Genomic DNA, 21430 nt, shown 5'->3' on the forward strand with positions numbered 1-21430 from the left:
CAGAATATACATTCTATTCAACAGCGCATGGAACTTTCTCCAAGATAGACCATACGATAGGCCACAAAATGAGTCTCAATACATTTAAGAAAATTGAAATTATATCAAGTACCCTCTCAGACCACAGTGGAATAAAACAGGAAATAACTCCAAAAGGAAACTTCAAAACGATGGAAATACATGGAAATTAAATAATCTGCTCCTGAATGATCATTGGGTCAAAAAGGAAAGCAAGATGGAAATTTAAAAATTCTTCGAACTGGGCCGGGCGCAGTGGCTCATGCCTGTAATCCCAGCACTTTGGGAGGCCAAGGCGGGTGGATCACGAGGTCAGGAGATCAAGACCATCCTGGCTAACACAGTGAAACCCCATCTCACCAACCCCGTCTCTACTAGCCGGGCTTGGTGGCAGGTGCCTGTAGTCCCAGCTAGTCGGAAGGCTGAGGCAGGAGAATGGCGTGAACCCGGGAGGTGGAGCTTCCAGTGAGCCGAGATGACACCACTGCACTCCAGCCTGGGCAACAGAGCAAAACTCCATCTCAAAAAAAAAAAAAAAATTCTTTAAACTGAACAACAATAATGACACTACCTATCAAAACCTCTGGGATACAGCAAAGGCCATGCTAAGAGGAAAGTTCACAGCCCTAAATGCCAGTATCAAAAAGACTGAAAGACCACAAACTGACATCTAAGGTCACACCTCAAGGAACTAGAGAAATAAGAACAAACCAAACCCAAACCCAGCAGAAGAAACGAAATAACCAAGATCAGAGCAGAACTAAATGAAATTGAAACAACAACAACAAAAAAATACAAAAGATAAATGAAACAAAAAGCTGGTTTTTTGAAAAGATAAATAAAATTGATAAATTGTTAGCAAGATTAACCAAAAAAAGAAGAGAGAGAATTCAAATAACCTCATTAAGAAATGAAAAGGGAGATACTACAACTGACACCACTGAAATACAGAAGATCATTCAAGGCTACTATGAACACCTTTACACACATAAATTATAAAACCTCAGAGAGATGGATAAATTCCTGGAAAAATACAACCCTCCTGGCTTAAATCATGAAGCATTAGATATCCTGAACAGACCAATAACAAGCAGCGAGATTGAAATGGTAATTTAAAAATTACAACAATAAAAAGTCCAGGACCAGATGGATTCACAGCAGAATTCTACCAGACACTTAAAGAAGAATTGGTACTAATCCTTTTGATACTATTCCACAAGATAGAGAAAGAAGGAGCCCTCCCTAGTTTATTCTATGAAGCCATCATCACCCTAATCCCAAAACCAGGAAAGGACGTAATCAAAAAAGAAAACTACAGGCCGATATCCCTGATGAACATAGATGCTAACATCCTTAACAAAATACTAGCTAACTGAATCCAACAACATGTCAAAAAGATAATCCACCATGATGAAGTGGGTTTCATACCAGGGATGCAGGGGTGGTTTAACATATGCAAGTCAACAAATGTGATACACAACATAAACAGAATTTTTAAAAATCAATGATCACCTCAATATATGCAGAAAAAGTATTAGACAAAACCCAGCATCTCTTTATAATTAAAACTCTCAGCTGGGCGCGGTGGCTTATGCCTATAATCCCAGCACTTTGGGAGGCCGAGGCGGGTGGATCACCTGAGGTCAGGAGTTCGAAACCAGCCTCAACATGGAGAAACCCTGTCTCTACTAGAAATACAAAATTATCCGGGCATGGTGGTGCATACTTGTAATCCCAGCTACTCAGGAGGCTGAGGCAGGAGAATTGCTTGAACCTGGGAGGCGGATGTTGCGGTCAGCCAAGATCGCGCCATTGCACTCCAGCCTGGGCAACAAGAGTGAAACTCCATCTCAAAAAAAAAAAAAAAAAAAACTCTCAGCAAAATTGGCCTACAAGGGACACACCTCAGTGTAATAAAAGCCATCTATGACAAACCCACAGCCAACATAATACTGAATGGGGAAAAGTTGAAAGCATTCGTTCTGAGAACTGGAACAAGACAAGGATGCCCACTCTCACTACTCCTCTTCAACATAGTACTGGCAGCCTAGCCAGAGCAATATGACAAGGGAAAGAAATAAAGGGCATCCAAATCGGCAAAGAAGAAGTCAAACTGTCACTGTTTGCTGACAATATGATCATTTACCTCAAAAACCCTAAAGACTCCTCTGGAAAGCTCCTAGAACTGATAAAAGAATTCAGCAAAGTTTCTGGATACAAGATTAATGTATATAAAATCAGTAGCTCTTCTATACAACAACAGCGACCAAGCAAAGAAACAAATCAAGAACTCAACCCCTTTTACAATAGCTGCAAAAAATATATAAAATACCTAGGAATATACCTAACAAAGGAGTCAAAAATCTCTACAAGGAAAACTACAAAACACTGCTGAAAGAAATCATAGATGACACAAACAAATGCAAACACATCCCACGCTCATGGATGAGTAGAATCAATATTGTAAAAATGACCACACTGCCAAAAGCAATCTACAAATTCAACGCAATCCCCATCAAAATACCACCATCATTCTTCACAGAATTAGAAAAATTCATATGGAACCAAAAAAGAGCCCCCATAGCCAAAGCAAGACTAAGCAAAAAGAACAAATCTGGAGGCATCACACTACCTGATTTCAAACTATACTACAAGGCCATACTCACCAAAACAGCATGGTACTGGTATAAAAATAGGCACATAGACCAATGGACTAGAATAGAGAACCCAGAAATAAACCCAAATACTGACAGCCAACTGATCTTCGACAAAGCAAACAAAAACATGAAGTGGGGAAAGGACACCCTATTCAACAAATGGCACTGGGATAATTGGCAAGCCACATGCAGGAGAATGAAACTGGATCCTCGTCTCTCACCTTATACAAAAATCAACTAAAGATGGATCAAAGATTTAAATCTAAGACCTGAAACTGTAAAAATTCTAGAAGATAACATTGAAAAAACCCTTCTAGACATTGGCTTAGGCAAGGATTTCATGACCAAGAACCCAAAAGCAAATGCAATAAAAATAAAGATAAATAGCTGGGACTTAATTAAACTAAAGAACTTTTGCACGACAAAAGGAACAGTCAGCAGAGTAAACAGACAACCCAGAGTGGGAGAAAATCTTCACAATCTGTACATCTAACAAAGGACTAATATCCAGAATCTACAACGAATTCAAACAAATCAGTAAGAAAAAAAAAAAATCCCATCAAAAAGTGGGTAAGGACATGAATAGACAATTCTCAAAAGAAGATACACAAATGGCCAACAAATGTGAAAAAAATGCTCAACATCACTAATGATCAGGAAAATGCAAATCAAAACCACAATGTGATACCACCTTACTCCTGCAAGAATGGCCATAATCAAAAAATCAAAAAACAGTAGATGGAATACTACTCAGACATAAAAAGGAATGAATTAACAGCATTTGCAGTGACCTGGATGAGATTGGAGACTATTATTTTAAGCGAAGTAACTCAGGAATGGAAAAACAAACATCGTATGTTCTCACTGATAAGTGGGAGCTAAGCTATGAGGACACTAAGGCGTAAGAATGATACAGTGGACTTTGGGGACTTGGAGAGAAGGGTGAGAAGAGGGATAAAAGACTATGAGTAGGGTGCAAGATATACCGCTCAGGTGATGGGTGCACCATAATCTCACAAATCACCACTAAAGAACTTACTCATATAACCAAATACCACCTGTACCCCAATAACCTATGGAAATTTTTTTTAAAAAATCTAATGCCTACCTTGGCACGAGTATAATACAAGCATCCTCATCTGGGAGGGAGAAACACAGTCTGGGGCTCCCACATGCCCCTCCTACTTTTCCTACCTCCCGGACCCCTGCCCTTGCCATAGGAGAAGGTCCACTCTGTGAGCCCCCACTGAATCCCCTCATGTACCTTTAGTCTCTTGTAGGTTCCATTATGCTCCATCACACTGACATGTTTTCAAGTCTGTCAGCCCGACTGGTCTGTACGCATCCTCGGTACCTGTGTGCTGGCTGTGAGAATCCTAGGGCCATTTCATAGAAGCTTGATAAGTGGCGGAAGGAAAGATAAAAGGAAGAGAGGGAGAGAGGGAAGGCGGAAGAGGGGAGATGGGCAAGAAGAGGGTCTTCCTCATTAACAGTGACAAGACCCTCTTACGTAATAATTAGCACTTCTTAGACTGTCTCCTACATCCCCCAACACGGGGAAGATGGTAAAGAAAGAACAAGGCAGTGCAGAGGCTGAGCTCCTTCAGAGGAGAAGCAGGCCCCGTCAGGTCTGGTCACCCGCTAGGAGTCTCTGCGCTTCCCTGCAGACCTGGCCAGCCGCATCCCCGGGGTCAATACTGGTCTAAAAGGAAAAAGAAGGGAGAGAGCGAAATGAAAACAGAAGAGGGAGCTCACATTCTTCTCCTTGGTGATACAGCACTTCTGACCTGCACAGGTATTTCTGATGCTGATTGTGTGGTGTAAACCAGTAGTTCTCAGATTTGTCCCAGTTCCATATAGTGAGCTCTCCATGGCAGACGCCAATGCTAGGAATCAAAGGCAAATGGGAAATTATAAAGTCCCCATTCAGATTTATTTTCAATTGGAAAAAAAAAAGGAAGAACTAAGGGTTAGATAAATCATTACATTATATTAATCAGAACAATTGACATTGCTATTGTAGCATTTCATCTTCAAAAAAGTCAAAATTGGCTTTTGGTTGAAAGCATTCCTTCCCCCTGAGAACCAGAACAAGACAAGGATGTCCACTCTCACCATTTCTATTCAACATAGTACTGGAGGTCCTAGCCAGAGCAATCAGACAAAAGAAAGAAAGAAAGGGCATCCAAATTAGTAAAGAGGAAGTCAAACTGCCTCCAGAATAAACACACAAAAACATAAAGCTAAGAGAGGCTGTCAGGCTTGACTATAATGAAATAATTGTCCCATGTTGGGTGTTTACAGAAAAACATTTTATGAGTAATGAGTAATCTTTTATGTCTCCTTTTTTTTATTTGCTTATTTTTGTTATAGATACATTCTTGGGTAACAGCAGACCACAGGCTAATATATTTTTACTACAGAAAAACTAATCTGCCAGTGCAAGACCTGGGAATATCTTTAACCATCTTTGTGAAGAATACAATAGACTGGTTTCCATAGGACATTAATTGAAAATTACAGGAATCTGTAAAAATAGTGATTATCTGACATCAGTCACCTACTGTGAAAAAAGAATTGTGTGAAAGTCATGCATATATACTGCTTTTCATGTACCAATTTTCCCATAGCTCTTAATAAAGTTTCATTATTAATGATGTAAATCATTGATTTATTGCAACTGATGCATTACAATTAACTTATTACCGATGATTTTAATCAGTATTGATGGTTTAATTATTAGTGATTAAGTCAGCACTGGTGATTTAAATCGGAAGAGGAATTTAACCTTAAAACACCTTGTTAGTCTTTATAGCATCTCCTCAGGTGAAAAGAGAAGGTTTTTATCAGATACAAGAAAAAAAAAAGAAAGACCATTGCTTACCCACAGGTAGTAAAGTGGACAAAAGCTTGGGCTACAGAGCCCAAATGCCCGCTGTGTGACCTCGGAAAAATCACTTACCCTCTCTGTGCCCCTGAAGGCTGAGGTGAGGACTGGATGTGAGTTCATTCATTTGAAGAATGAGAATGGTATCTCCCTAGAATGCTCTGCCAGTATCATTGTCACCGAGCCCTGTGCAGATATGAGCACACAGAGATGAGCACATGTAGGCTCAGAGGGTTCATGGGTCCCTTGAAACCCATCCATGGTCCATGGACCTCGGCTTAGGAACCCTCTCAGAAATCACTGTGTGTTAAATGTGTGGAGATGACCTGAAATCCCCTCATTTCACAGATGAATCTAGAATGATAGGAGGGTTGAGAATGATAAGCGTTTCCAAGGCCACAACTCCACCAAAGCATGTCTTAACTCGGCCCCTGGACTCTCCCAGTCCCCTAGGCTGTCCCCTGATGACACTTTGTTCATCAGGAGATAACATAAAAGGCCTTAACTGACAGAAGAGTAATTAGACCCTAGTAGAACAGCTGGGAGGAGCCTGGAAAGAACCGATCCTGCATTAATGGTGGAAGTCCTCAAAGCCCTCAAGTCCAACTGCTGGCACCCCCCATTGTCCAGCAGCGCCCTGGCTGGTGCCATGGTCACTCACAAATCACAGGCTGCACCCCAGACCCAGGATGTCAGCTCGCGCCGTGACCTGAACACGTTTGTTCACCCACCCCTGGGCTGCAGAGTGGAGCGGGTTCCATTCCGTGGTCACTGCAGCCTGATCCCTTCTCCATGAAGCCCGCCTTGAGGCTGACAAGAGAGCTGCTCTGTGATCCACCTCCACCCTTTCCAAGCTGTATACTTTGAAACCTAAGGACGTGCCCAGGCAGACCTGACTGGACTCAGTAGCCTCATTCTCAGTGTCTGGAAAGACCCCAAAGAGTCTCTTGCTCAAAATAATCTACCCAACAGTACTGCTGGAGAATCTTCCCCTGATCTCATGTTTTCTTCAGAGAATGACATGGAACACTCCAGTGAAAATGCTAGTGTAATCCAGGGTGGCTTACTAACTAGTATCCACCTCAACAGCCAAGCAGGAACTGCTTATCTGAAAGTAATGGAATACGGATCCGATTTATAAAGGGGTTGGAAAATGTCAGGCCAAGTGAGACACAAGCCCAGGCCATGTCAATTTCGCAATTCGTATCCATTGCCATGCACAATTTTAAATGAGGTCCTTGAAGATAAATCGCCAGTGGCACAGACTTCCAATTACTCACAGATTTCTGCATCACAAAGTGGTACAGTCTTCCCAGAACACTCAAAGACACTTAAAGCCTCAGAGGGAGGCTTCTGTCAGAGTTGCAGAGGATGCTTCTCAGAGGAGCTCCAGTTCCTGGCACTGTATCAGTTGGGGTCTGTGGCGGGCAGGGGGAGTGGGGTATGCAGGTCGGCGACTCTGCCCAATCCCTCTGTCAAGTCCAGTGCCCTGCCCAGGTGGCCCAGCACACATGGGCCTGCTCCCCTGCAGGCCTCCTCCTCTTCTCTCATCACCCCCTCTGAAACAGGAGCAGCATCATTTGGGGGCCTTCCCCTGCCTGTCTATGTCTTTTATTATATTTGTTGCATTTCTTAACACTTTTTCAAAATCCTCATTGATAACTGATTAAATTAGATAATGTAATTGAAAGCACTTTGTAAACTAAAAAGTGTTCTACAAAGTCTGTATTAAATTTTTATCGTTGCAGACTCACAATCACGACTCAGGACTCTTGACCTGTCCATTAGGAGCCCAGCCTGGTAAGGGGCTTGCTGAGGGATGGAGGGAGACAACAGATGCTCAGCTGCTTCCTATTTAACAGTCCACCATGGTCTTGGTGAAAGGGGCCCAAGATGGCCCAAGGTGAAAGCCACCCAGATATGGCAGAGTAAGGGACACAGCCCCTTGGTCAGTCACTGATGTTATTTCCTGACTTCCCTTGGATCTGGCCTAGCCATCCAGAGATTTTTTTTTTTTAAATGGAGTCTCACTGTGTGTCCCAGGCTGGAGTGCAGTGGCGCGATCTCAGCTCACTGCAGCCTCCGCCTCCTGGGTTCAAATGACTCTCCTGCCTCAGACTCCCAGGTAGCTGGGATTACAGACGCCTGCCACCCCACCCAGCTAATTTTTTTTTTTTTTTTTTGAGACGGAGTCTCACTGTGTCACCCAGCCTGGAGTACAGTGGCACGATCTCGGTTCACTGCAACCTCTGCCTCCCGGGTTCAAGCGATTCTTCTGCCTCAGGCTTCCAAGTAGCTAAGACTACAGGTGTGCACCACCACGTCTGGCTAATTTTTGTATTTTTAGTAGAGACAGAGTTTCACCATATTGGCCAGGCTGGTCTCGAACTCCTGATCTCATGATCCGCCCCCTCGACCTCCCAAAGTGCTGGGATTACAGGCATGAGCCACTGCGCCAGGCTAATTTTTATATTTTTAGTAGAGTGGGTTTCACCATGTTGGCCAGGCTGGTCTTGAATACCCGACCTCAGGTGATCCACCCACCTCGGTCTCCCAAAGTGCTGGGATTACAGGTGTGAGCCACCTTGCCCAGCCCAGAGATTTCTTTATTTATGGTGACCATCTTTTAGAAACCAAGAAAAAAAGATACCATGATCTTCAAGTAGTAGCATCCTTCAGGGATAAGAAGTTGGAATATCTGTAGTTAAGTCTGTCCTCAAAGTGCTGGGTGGAATGGTGACCATACCTTTGTCATCTTGGTTATGTGCATCTTCTAATTGTCTATATTTGGTGATGTGGTCTTTTGGGCTGTACATTCATGAGGGTTTCTTGCTTTCCAGTCAATCCCAGGCCACATCGTAACAGAGATGAAGCCCTTGCTGTGCATTTCACAGCTAGTGATGTTGAGCTGTCAAGAGTTGCATGGAGTAAATTGGATTCCAGAACCTACACTTGCAGACTCCAAGTTGTAGACTCCTTCACTTTCTGTTGAGCAAAGCTCAGCCATCCCATTTTAGTTGGCCATTTATTTGGTCATCTGTTTTTAATTGACCACATTGGCTAATAGTTATTTTCTATTTAAGTATCAAAGATTTAACTTTGAATTTCCTACCTCCTCCCTGTTAAATGATGACTAGAAATGACAACATGTTTTTGTCAAGTCTGGTTCAAATTACACAATGTTAATAAGGTTTTATGTGGATATTTACCATTGATATTTAGTGTGTTTAGCATACGGATCAATTTCAACAAGATACAAGCATAACAGCTTCAAGAGCACTTGCATGCTTTGAGATCAGACAGATTTGAGTACCAGCTCTGCCATTTAAGCTGTGGCATGTGATTCAGTTACAGGCATGTGATTCAGTTACAGGCATGTGATTCAGTCTTTCTCAGTCTCAGTTTTCATGCTTTTAAAACAGGGAAGATAGGCCAGGCACGGTGGCTCATGCCTGTAATCCCAGCACTTTGGGAGGCTGAGGTGGGTGGATCACAAGGTTAGGAGTTCAAGACCAGCCTGGCCAAGATGGTGAAACCCTATCTCTACTAAAAATACAAAAATTAGCCGGCGCGGTGGCAGGTGCCTGTAATCCCAGCTACTTGGGAGGCTGAGGCAGAGAATTGCTTGAACCTGGGAGCTGGAGGTTGCAGTGAGCTGAGATTGTGCCACTGCACTTCAGCCTGGGCAACAGAGCAAGACTCTGTCTCAAAAAAAAAAAAAAAAAGAAGAAGAAGATAACCTCGTGTAAAGACTTTCAGAGAAGACTACAATATAACATACAATGCTTCACAATACAATGTACATAAACATTAGTTTCATCTTCCTCTTTCTCCCTTTCATAGAAAATTTATCTCCTATGCTTAAATTTAAACATTCTTTTTACCATTTTTACTCTCCTTCCAACTATGATGTGATGGGGTAACTAATATGTCATGTGTAAATGTCACGTCATCATAGGGTCCTGCAGGGAACAGAGCTCACCCTATGGAGCCTTAGGAAGAAAGACCATTGTTAGGTTAATAGTAAGGTCCATGCTACCAACCCTGGGGAGGCCTTTCCTGGTCTGGTCAGCCTATGCCAGAAAAGCAGCCAAGTGAAGGCTGGAAACACCGTGTGGCTCGTATAGATACTTCCAGTGTCACAAAACCAACACTACTAAGAGGTGGGAATCAGCTGAAGAAGTGAGTTGGCTCCTCGCACCCCCTAGCTTCTGGCATATTGACCTTGAACTTGCCTATGAAAGGTCTAAGCACTGTTGAGGAGCTGTCCTGGCATCTCAGCAGTGAACAAAGGCCTCTTCCTCTGATGAGGGATTTCTCAGAGCCCCCATCACAAAGGATAGAGATGGCCCTTCCTGGGGCTGTTTCAATGTCCACAGACTAGATGGCAAGCATGTTTCCTGCCAGCCCTTTCTGACCAACGACTTCTAACTTCTTCTGCTCCCACTCAGTCCCTATACTCAGTCCAGTCGCCCCCTGCCATATGAATGGGATGACTTGCAAAGTTTCATTTGTGAATCTGCCAGGTGGACCAGCTTCCTACTCTCTTGCAGCTGAATCAACTCTCGATGGTTAGGATTCCTGGTTTGCAGGCTGGGTTTTAGTTAGGTGATTTGGTGGAGGGTTTTTACAACCTGGGTTCTTATCTTCCACAGGACAGGCATCTTTTCATTCCATTTATTCCATTCTCCCCCTGCCCGCTCCCACTACCACATCTAATCAGTCAGCTCTGAGAGCCAAGAGTATATGCCGTGCTGAACGCAATGCTTCAAAATCCACCTGGGCCTTGGCAAACCCTGGAATTTTCTTCCATTGTTTGGGGACAGCCATGGTCAAACATTTAAGCAGCATAAATCTCTCATTTCCAAGAGAAGAGAAAGAAGAAAGGCTCTGTGCAATGACAATAGTAATGGTAATAGAAGCAAAATCTCCATCTATCAGGGCCTCCCGGGGACAGGAGCTTTATTTTCCAAATGTTCTGCCTGTGGGCATTTTACAAGAGACCCTCGGCTATGGCCCCTGCTTCTCCCCTGTCCTCCAAGGACTGCTTCAGCCACACAGCTCTTGCAGCTGCCACTGGCCTAACAGAGCCCACGATAGGAGTCAATGAAACCCTCAACCCAGAAAATGTCCCATGCCCGTTGTATTGGGCTGCCCCAGTAGTAAATGTGACTAGAAAGCAACCACAGCACCAGGATCTACAGTGTCCCCATGACTCACTTCAGAAAGCCCGAGACCCAAGCACTGAAAGGACTTGGAAGCTAGGACCCCTCCATGGCACAGGCACACCCAGTGTCGGGTCTTGTTTATAAATTCCTCTCTCCTCTAAAAGGTGCCAGAGCTCCTTGGAGAAATGGCTGATTCCAGGGCTGGGACAGGGAAAATACAAGATAACACTAAAGCATCTTGTGCCAAAAGTAAAGATGTGCACAAAGAATGATGGGGACACCTCAAAGGGACACAGAAACCAGCTTGAAGTGACTCCCACTGGCCAAATGTGAGACAACTTGAGCATCAAAATTAAAAGCGATATGGCTGGGAGCGGAGGCTCACTCCTGTAATCCCAGCATTTTGGGAGGCCAACATGGGAGGATCACTCAAGTCCAGGAGTTCAAGACCAGCCTAGACAACATGGCAAAAACCCATCTCCACAAAAAATACAAAAATTAGCCGCACATTGTGGCTTGTACCTATAGTCCCAGCTACTCGGGAGGCTGAGATGGGAGGATGGCTTGAGCCCAGAAGACGGAGGTTTCAGTGAGCCGAGATCGCACCACTGCACTCCAGCCTGGGTGACAGAGTGAGCTTTGTCTCAAAAAAAAAAAAAAGTGATAATGACTTACAAGCTATTAAATGAAATAATAATTTATAAGTTCATACTGATAGTAAATTGATATCTAGGTAAAGAGACCAATAGGCTGATGGTTGAGAAGAGGAAACTTCTCTACTGTAGGATGTCAACTAATAAATGAAGAGGGAAAGATTGAGTTAGAAAATTACATGTGTGGACAGGTACAGTGGCTCATGCCTGCAATCCCAACACTTTGGCAGGCTGAGGCAGGAGGATCACTTGAGGCAAGGAGTTTGAGCCCATCCTGGGCAACATAGCAGGATCTTATCTCTACAAGAAAAAAAAAAAATACAAAAATTAGCAGGGTGTGGTGGTGCACACATGTAGTCCCAACTACTCCGAAGACTGAGGCAGGAGGATCCCTTGAGCCCAGGAGTTCAAGGCTGCAGTGAGCTATGATAGTGCCACTGCACTCCAGCCTAGGTGACAGAGTAAGATCTCATCTCTAAAAAATAATAAGTTAAAAATAAAGGAAAGTTGCCAGGTGTGGTGGCTCACGCCTGTAATCCCAGCATTTTGGGAGACTGAGGCAGGTGGATCACGAGGTCAGGAGATTGAGACCATCCTGGCTAACACAGTGAAACCCCGTCTCTACTAAAAAATATAAATAATTAGCCGGGCATGGTGGCGGGCGCCTGTAGTCCCAGCTACTGGGGAGGCTGAGGCAGGAGAATGGCGTGAATCTGGGAAGCGGAGCTTGCAGTGAGCCAAGATCGAGCCACTGCACTCCAGCCCAGGTGACAGAGCGAGACTCTGTCTCAAAAAAAAAATAAAATAAAATAAAGGAAAGTTACATTTGTAACCATCATAATAAAAATTGGTAGTGGCAAGAATCATCAGTGGATGCTAAAACTAGAGTCTGAAAGTTTGACGGGCAACAAGATGTTTGCTGAGTCTCACAGCATCTCCCCACAAGATGCTTATTCATTGTGAAGGGAGAAATAGTCACTTTACAGTGAGAAAACTGGTAGATTCCACCTTGATCAAGTGATCAATGTTGACACCAATATAGGAACAAATGGCTATCTTACGCCTCCTGTGAGGATGCCCCAATGGGAAACATCATCACTTCAGTGGCACTCACACCCAAAATCCACAGGCTGAGTCTAGTAATGATGAAACATCAACCAAAACCAAATTAAGAGGCATCCTACAAAGTGCTGGCCTGTGATCTTTAAAAATGTCAGTGTCACAAAAGAAAAAAAAGGCCGGGCATGGTGGCTCATGCCTGTAATCCCAGCACTTTGGGAGGCTGAGGCGGGTGGATCACGAGGTCAGGAGTTCGAGACCAGCCTAACCAACATGGTGAAACCCCATCTCTACTAAAAATACAAAAATTAGCCGGGCATGGTGGTGTGCGCCTGTACTCTCAGCTACTTGGGAGGCTGAGGCAGGAGCATTGCTTGAACCCGGCAGGCGGAGGTTGTGGTGAGCTGAGATCGTGCCATTGCACTCCAGCCTGGGCAATAAGAGCGAAACTCCATCTGAAAAAAAAAAAGAAAAAGAAAAGAAAAAAAGGGTGCTGAGGAAGTGTGCTAAGCTAAAAGTGGCTAAAGAGACATGACGAGTGAATGTTGTGTGTGATCTGGGATTGAATCCTAGGAAAAAGAATTGCTATAAGTTGCATCAAATCTGAAAAGTATTTGTATATTAGATAACATTTGTTAAAATTCCTAATTTTGATCACCATATGGTAGTTATATAAGTTATGACAGTGAAAGAGATCTGGCCTAAATTTCTGGGAGAAATTTATTTTACAGTTTAAATGATAATACCCCTTCCCAAAACTAAACCTCTTTTATAAAACTCATGAAAGGCTACCAGATTACAAGAGGAGCCTGAATTCTTCTAAGATAGTTAAATAATTACAAGCCATTATTCTAGAGGTTCTTAAGAAATACACAATGAAGAATTTCGTGGTAAAAAGGCATGTTGTTTGCAACTTACCTTCAAACGACTCAAAAACAGAACTAGATGGATAGATAGGTGGTGGGTATAGCAAGAGACAGAGAAAGAGTCAGGAAATGCTACAGCAACGGTGGCAAAATGACATTTGGTTAATCTTGGTGAAGGATATTCCATGTACTATTCTTGAAACTTTGCTATTAAATGTGAAATTATTTTAAAGTAGCAAGTTTATTAAAAAGCAAAGCAAAACATGACAAGTGAAAAGGAAGATATTAAGTAGGATATATGCAGGGTGGGAATATAAAATGGTACAGACACTCTGGAAAATAGTTTGGCAGTTTCCTAAAACACTAAACATGTGCTTATCATATGACCCAGCAATTGAGCTCTTGGGTGTTTATCCCAAAGAAAGGAAAACTTATGTCCGCTAAAAACCTGTACGTGAATGTCCCTAGCAGCTTTATTGGTAATACTCAAAAACTTGAAACAACCAAAACATCCTTCGACAGGTGACTGGTTAAACAAACTGGTGTATTCGCACCGTGGAATACTACTTAGCAATAAAAAGGAACAAGTTATTCGTATATGCAACGGTTTGGATGAATCTCAAGGAAATTATGCTGAGTACAAAAAGCCAAGCTCAAAAAAGGTCACACACAGTAGTATTCTATTTATATAACGTTCTCAAAATGTTACAGAGCACAGATTTGTAGTTTTTGTGCTCTGAAACTACTATTAGAGGATGTGGAGAAAGGAAGGGAGGGAAGAGGATAGGAGTCTAAAAGGGCAATCAGAGGGACCTTTGTGATGGAATGGGCCTGTATCTTGACTGCAATAGATACACAAATCTACACATACTGCAACTGCATTTGCAAATCTCATAACAGTGAGAAAATTATGACAGTGAAAGAGATCTGGCCTAACCAATTCCATCTTGCCTTTGTCCTTCAAACTGCCCTTGTTCATTCCTGGACATGGGCCAAGCTAACTCTGGGAGAAATTTAGTTTACAGTTTAAATGATAATACCCCTTCCCAAAACTAAACCTCTTTTGTAAAACTCATGAAAGGCTACCACATTACAAGAGGAGCCTGAATTCTTCTAAGATAGTTAAATAATTACAAGCCATTATTCTGGAGGTCACAAGATTTGCAGCTTCTCCAAATACTCCTGTAATTAACATCACTATTGTCGAACCTAACATTGGCCTTTGAGATATCTTTTCAGGCTTTTGCATTCCAGTGACTGGATGGCTCCTCCTGGACTGGCAACTCCTCTGTGGCCCCACCCAAAAGCAAACTCAGCACACCAGGACCATTTTCCACACCTCTTTAATTGCATTCCCTACCAACCAGTATTCCTCTTTTCTTATCCCCCTGCCCACAAAAATATCCTTGAAAATCCTTGAAAATCCCTAGCCTCCAAATTTTGGGGGAGGCTGATTTGAGTAATAATAAAATTCCAGTCTCCCACTTAGCCAGCTCTATGTGTATAAAACTCTTGCAATTAAACTCTATTGCAATTCCCCTGTCTTGATAAATCAGCTCTATCTAGGCAGCAGGCAAAATGAACCCACCGGTTGGTTACAATATGACCAAGTTGAATAGAGCTATACAGGCACACAAACACACACAAACAAGTGCATGTGAGAAACCCGAAGAAGCCCTATGGATAGTACAAATGTCCATTTCCTGCTCTTGATACTGTGCTATGGTTATGCAAGAAGCTAACACTAGAGGAAGGGTGCACAGGACCTCCCTGTACATTTCTTTGCAACTTCCTGTAAATCTATAACTATTCCAAAACACAAAGTTGAAAACAAACAAACAAAAAAAGCAAGTCTAAGACAAAGCCTGTCTGTACTCCCCTGCTATACCACTGGTGACTCTGCTCCCAAGAGATGTCCTGTGGGGAGTCTATCCTTCAGACTGTCATCTTGTCTTGTCTTGTCTCATAACCCCTGTCTTAGTCCATTGTGTGTTGCTATAAAGGAATATCTGAGATTGGTTCATTTATAAAGAAGAGAGGTTTATTTGGCTCATGGTTTTGCAGGTTGTACAAGAAGCATGGTGCCAGCATCCGCATTGGGTGAGGGCCTCTGGCTGCTTCTCATGGTGGAAGGGAGCTGGTGTGTGTAGAGATCACACAGCAAAAGAGAAAGCAAGAGGCGGGGCAAGAGGTAATCAGGCCCTTTTTAACAACCAGCTCTTGTGGAAACATAGAGTGAGAACTCACTCACCTTGGAGAGAGGGCATTAATCTATTCATGAGGGATCTGTCTCTAATACACAAACACCTCCCATTAGGCCCCACCTCCAACACTGAGGATCAAATTTCAACATGAGGTTTTCGGGGGACAATCATCCAAATTATAGCAACTCTCAAAACTTTGTATGGGATCTCATCCCCCTTCTTCATGTATCTTAGCAGTAGGAACAGATGGTGGAAGTACAAGGGCAGAGACACACAAGAGTCTGGGTGTAGCCTTTAAGCACAGGAACAACTCTAAATGCTGGAGCTCACATTGGATTACGACTTTGAAGTCAGGCTACTGGATTCAAAGGCCAATCTGTCACCATTCACAAAATCTTAGATACAGTGCTTACCCATTTGTGTTTCAGTTTTCTTATCTATGAAATGAGGATGATAATAGTACCCATATCATAGGATTATTCTGTGTGTGTGAGGTGTGCATGTATATGTAGCTTAGAACAGTACCAGACACCTAAAAAGAGTATTAGTTGTTATTTATAATACTCATAAAAACAACTGCTTAATATTATTATATCTCTCTACAAGTTTTAACATTCCTATTTTACAATGAAGAAGCTGGGTCTTGGCAAAACTAATTAACTAGCATGGGCCCGCTAGTCACATGTTCATGCCCTTTTCAATATGCCTATTTGAACATAGTTCATGCCCTTTTCAATATGCCTATTTGATTAAGTCTCTATGGATACCTTACTAGCAAAAGAAGAAAAAAAAATCCAGAAAGCAGAGAAAAGGACAAAGAATAAATTCTAGGCTGGGTGCTGTGGCTCACTCCTATAATCCCAGCACTTTGGGAGGCCGAGGCGGGTGGATCATGAGGTCAGGAGTTCAGGACCAGCCTGGCCAAGATGGTGAAACCCCGTCTCTACTAAAAATACAAAAATTAGCTGGGCGTCGTAGTGGGCGCTTGTAATCCCAGTTACTCAGGAGGCTGAGGCAGAGAATTGCTTGAACCTGGGAGGCGGAGCTTGCAGTGAGCCAAGATCGTGCCACCGCACTCCAGCCTGGGCAACAGAGCGAGGCTCCGTCTCAAAAAAAAAAAAAAAAAAAAAGGAATAAATTCTATCTCAGGAAGAAAGATTGTACAGTTGACATTCAACAACACAGGAGTTGGGGTGCTGATGGCCCATGCAGTCGAAATCTGCCTATAACATTTGACTCCCCCAAAACTCAACTACTACAAGTGTACCATTGGCCCAAAGCCTTACTGGTAACATAAACAGTATATTAGCACATATTTTGTGTGTTATGTGTATTATATACTACATTATTACAATAAAATAGAGAAAAAATGTTATTAAGAAAATCATAAATAAGATAAAATTTATTGGCAAGGCATGATGGCTCATGCTTATAATCCCAACACTATAGAAGGCCAAGATAGGAAGATCACATGAGGCCAGGAGTTCAAAACCAGCCTGACCAACATAGCAAGACCCCATCTCTACAAAGAATACAAAAATTAGCTGGGCATAATGGCACATGCCTGTTGTCCCAGCTAGTCAAGAAGCTGAGACAGGAGGATTGTTTGAACCCAGGAGTTCAAGGCTGCAGTCAGCCATGTTCATGCCACTGCACTCCAGCCCGGGCAATAGAATGAGAATTTTTTTTAAATCTTTATAAAATAAAATGTCTTCATAAAAAACAATAAATTTTTAAAAGTTAAATTAATGAAATACAATAAAATATATATATTTGCTATTTATTAAGTGGAAATGGATCATCATGAATGTCTTCATCCTCACTGCCTTCATAATGAGTAGGCTAAGGAGGAGGAGAAAGAGGAAGAAATGGTTGGTTTTGCTGTCTAAGGGGTGGCAGAGACGGAAGAAAATCTATGTGTAAGTGAACCTGCACAGTTCAAACCCAAGTTGTTCAAGGGCACACTGTAAAAAAACATCTCAAGTGACTTAAACTATAAAGTAAGTTAATTTTCATACTTACCATGAACGTCCAAGTTTGGGAGCCTCGGGGGCTGGTGAATTCAGTGGCTCAGCAATGTCATCACTAACATGGGTTTTTCTGTCTCTCTGCTCTGCCAGTTTTAGCGATGGTTTAGCTCCCACTGTGGTCCCAGCGTGACTGCACTATTTCCACACAACAAAATCCAAAGGAGAAGGAAGACTACTCCCAACATGTGTTTTTTAAGAAAGGGAAATCTTAGCCAGCGCCTTAGTTTGAGTTGTGTCACCAGCCCATGGACTGTCATGACTGGCTCAGTGAAGCATCTGGCTGTGTGGAGAAGGGTGGGTTACCCAAGCAAAACTGAGGTTGAGTCACAGGAAAGAAGTGGACAGTGGCTCTTGGGTAGTAACCAGTATCCTCCTCCCACCATGAAAAGCACCCTTCTCCTTTGACACTCCCTTATCAACAGGCAAAATAGTAGTCAATTTTAAAACTAAGCAACAATACAAATCTATTTTATTTATTTATTTATTTATTTATTTATTTATTTATTTATTTATTGAGACAGAGTCTCACTCTGTCGCCCAGGCTGGAGTGCAGTGGCGCAATCTCAGCTCACTGCAACCTCCGCCTCCCAGGTTCAAGCGATTCTCCTGCCTCAGCCTCCTGAGTAGCCGAGATTATAGGGACCCACCACCACGCCCAGCTAATTTTTGTATTTTAGTAGAGATGGAGTTTTGCCATGGCAACAACACAAATCTTACAAAGGTTCAGCCAGAGCATACTTAGTTTTTGACAATTATATTTGATATATGTGTGTATCGGTCAGAAAGGCTGGTTTATGATGCCATAATAGGCAACACCAAGTTTTCTGAAACATACAACTGTGGCAGTTTATTTTTTGTTCCCGAAACTTGCAGTCAACGTTTCAGGGCCATCCAAGGTCTTACTCAGTCCCAGGCTTATGCAATCTTCCAGCAACCTGAGGCTTTGGGGTTCACAGCAGTAGGAGGAGCAAGCATGGAAAATCTCACACCAGGGGACAAGTTGCCTCCTTTCCAGGCCTTTGCTAGAACCAGTCCCATGGCTCTGTACGTAATTCGGGTAAAGCAATCCTCTTTGTGTCCAGAAGAGGGAGGGGAGCCAGAAATGTCCGTGAGTACTAGCAAAGGCAACCACATCCCCTGTCCAGGAAGCGTGCCAGGAAGGGGCTCCTGTTCCACATGGGTCTGGGCATCAGGGAAGGAACCTTGACACTGCCAGGACTAGCTGGGGAAGAAAAGGGCCTGTCCACTTTGTTTATCACAGCTCCCTCCTCTAGTGGGATGCCTCTCATTAGGTAGGAGCTTGGTTTCCAGTGGGGTAAATAGCTTGAGCTAACCAGAACTATTTGAAATCAAGCCATGAAGTGGCAAATACAAAACTTTGCAAAAATTAAAAAACACACACACACACGCAAAGCTAGATGGGAGCTTGCTAAATTGGGAAATGGTCATGCCCTATTATCACCCAGGCCCCTCCCAAGCTGTGAGATCTTTAAGTACAATTTTAAATGCTTCCTAGCCTATAATGTGAACAACGCTAGTGTCAGAGCAGGAAGGACCTGGCGCTAAACATCTCTCCCTCCATCCCTATATGACTGTAAACCCTGAAATGTGAGAGAGCACCTCAGGAACAGGTCCAAGGGAACGACTTTGGCTATGGAGACACAGAATCAGCCACAGCCCACTCCCACCGCCACAGAGAAATTTTCTTCTGTCTCTGGAGTCTTCTTAAACTTCTCAGAGAAAGTCTGTGGGTAACATGGATTAAAGACATACTCTAACTCTAAATAAGATACTTGGCTTCAGTCTGAATGAGAAGACCCTTGTAGGAGTCTCTGTCCATTAAATAAATTATAAACAGAATGAAAATTTGGAAATTCAGAAAGTTGTTGATTCAAAATTCAGCTGAACTGGGAAAATTGTAAATGTTTGTGCTTTGAAGTAAACAAATTATGAAGGCTATGAAATTCCTGCTAGTGGATTAGGGGTTTTTTTTGTTTCTTTGTTTTTTGTTTTTTTGTTTTTTTGATCATTTGTGAGCCCAAGAGGAGTAGCAACACTTAAGCTTAATTTTATAAGCTTTTTTCCTGGAGGACTTGCTAATGGCTTCAATAAAGTTTAAGGAATCTAATGTAATGAAAAAGACTTTCTCAGCATTTAGCATGTCATTGAATAAACAAAAACAAAACAACCCAATCCTTCAAGGTGATCTTCTACCTATTAAATATTCAGTTTCACTGTTAATTTTTTAAGGAGGAAATGGGAATTTAAACTTACAATAGAAATATTTAAACATGTTTATCCTCTTCTGTCTGCTTGTGTATAACATTTATCAGCAGAAAAAATCAAAAAGCAAAGTGGGTATTTGTGTTGCCTTTAATTATATTCCAGTGATATCAGTGTTGCCCTTAGTATCAACACTGTGACTCCTGTGACCTAAGTCAGAAGCAGGCTTATTAGTGGCAAAGCAGGGTGTGATCATGACCTGAACTGGGTCTGTTTCCAGACAAGGCACCACCCCAGAAGTTTCATGCAAGAACATACCATGCTCCCTGAAATGCCTAAAGGGCATTTTCAACTGAGAAGTGAAAGTTTGGTTCACTTTTTGGTTTGATGCATTTTACTGGAAAATGGTCACTGTTCCTGCCCCCACTGGGGGAGGACTGAGCATATTGTGAAATGTCCTCACCCAGCTCTATCCTTGGATTAGCGGCTCCAAAGAAAAACATGCCTCTCTAAGTCATCCTGTAAGGTGACCCCGAAGTGTGACTTGTCACACCATCCCGCCTTCTTTACCGCCTGAGCCGTGGAGGGCAGCCTGGCCTGATGCACCAAGGATTCATGCTCACAGATGATCCAGGGCATGTTCTAAACATTAACTTTACTTCCAGCCAAGTCATGGCCTCTGTGGAACGTGCCAGAGCAGAAGCTTACCTGCCCCCGGGGTGGGCAGAGGGAGCAGGGGATGGGGACTGTTTAACACTTTGTCCCTGGAATAAGATCTCTGTGAATCTAGTGCTAATTTCGTGTGTGTAACCTTGTCAGGCGAAGGCATTTCTGTAACTCCTCCGCTCTGCATATAAAAGATTAAGACCCTGAGGTTTCAGGACCAGGTCGTGGCCTCTGAGAGCCCCAGAGCTGAGGAAACAGGAGTTACAATACTTGCCTTCCGTTACAACACATCAAGGCAGCAGCAGATTCATCTCAAAGGTAAAGGATGTTGAACTTGATGTGGATGGGAACCTGGCGGAGGTTCATCTCACTCTTCGGCAGGGAGGGAGGTGGATGGGCCCCTTGTAAGCCTGTAAACCTGTCTTTCTCAGCGGCTGGGATTCAGCTTTCCCCCGGAACCCCCTTGCTTGCATCTGCTTGGGAATGACTCACAAATCCTAATGGGGCTTTTCCATATCTAATTTATATAATTAGATGATGCAATCAAAACAAGTTAAACTGTGAGAAAGCCAGAAATCAGTGCCAGTGTCCGCTTAACCAGGCTCTGAGAAAAATAGTACATATGGATAGTGAGATGCCAATACCCCAAAGAAATGAACACCCTCAAGGAATGTTCAAGTAGAGATGCTCGACCACAGTGGGCTTCTCGGGAGACTAGCACTGAGGAGGCTGTACCTTAGCTTCGGCCTTTGTAATTCTAAAGCAGAGCTGCTTAAACTGCACAGGAGTCATGCACAGGAGTCATCTGGGGATGAGATGAAAATGCAGGGTTTGATTCCTATCTGGGCCTTGATAAATTCTGCACTTGTACCAACTCCGTGGTGATGCCAGTGCTGCTGGTTCACGGGACAATCGGGTGGCAGGGCTCACTGGGGTCTTAGTGACAGTATATAATCTTTGAGACTTTTCCATGCCTGAATCTTATCAAATCAGCAGAGT

General features: G+C 43.0%; 1 annotated feature.

Annotated features, from left to right (window-relative positions):
• Nucleotides 15389–15890: an enhancer, noted in NCBI's record as "NANOG hESC enhancer chr3:46646153-46646654 (GRCh37/hg19 assembly coordinates)". NCBI's record gives its function as "activates a minimal SCP1, AML or CMV promoter by ChIP-STARR-seq in naive H9 embryonic stem cells {active_cell/tissue: H9 hESC(naive)}" and the evidence as "EXISTENCE:reporter gene assay evidence [ECO:0000049][PMID:30033119]".

The sequence above is a fragment of the Homo sapiens genome, chromosome 3 (genome assembly GCF_000001405.40).
Source record: "Homo sapiens chromosome 3, GRCh38.p14 Primary Assembly".
In the NCBI taxonomy this organism is placed as follows: domain Eukaryota; kingdom Metazoa; phylum Chordata; class Mammalia; order Primates; family Hominidae; genus Homo; species Homo sapiens.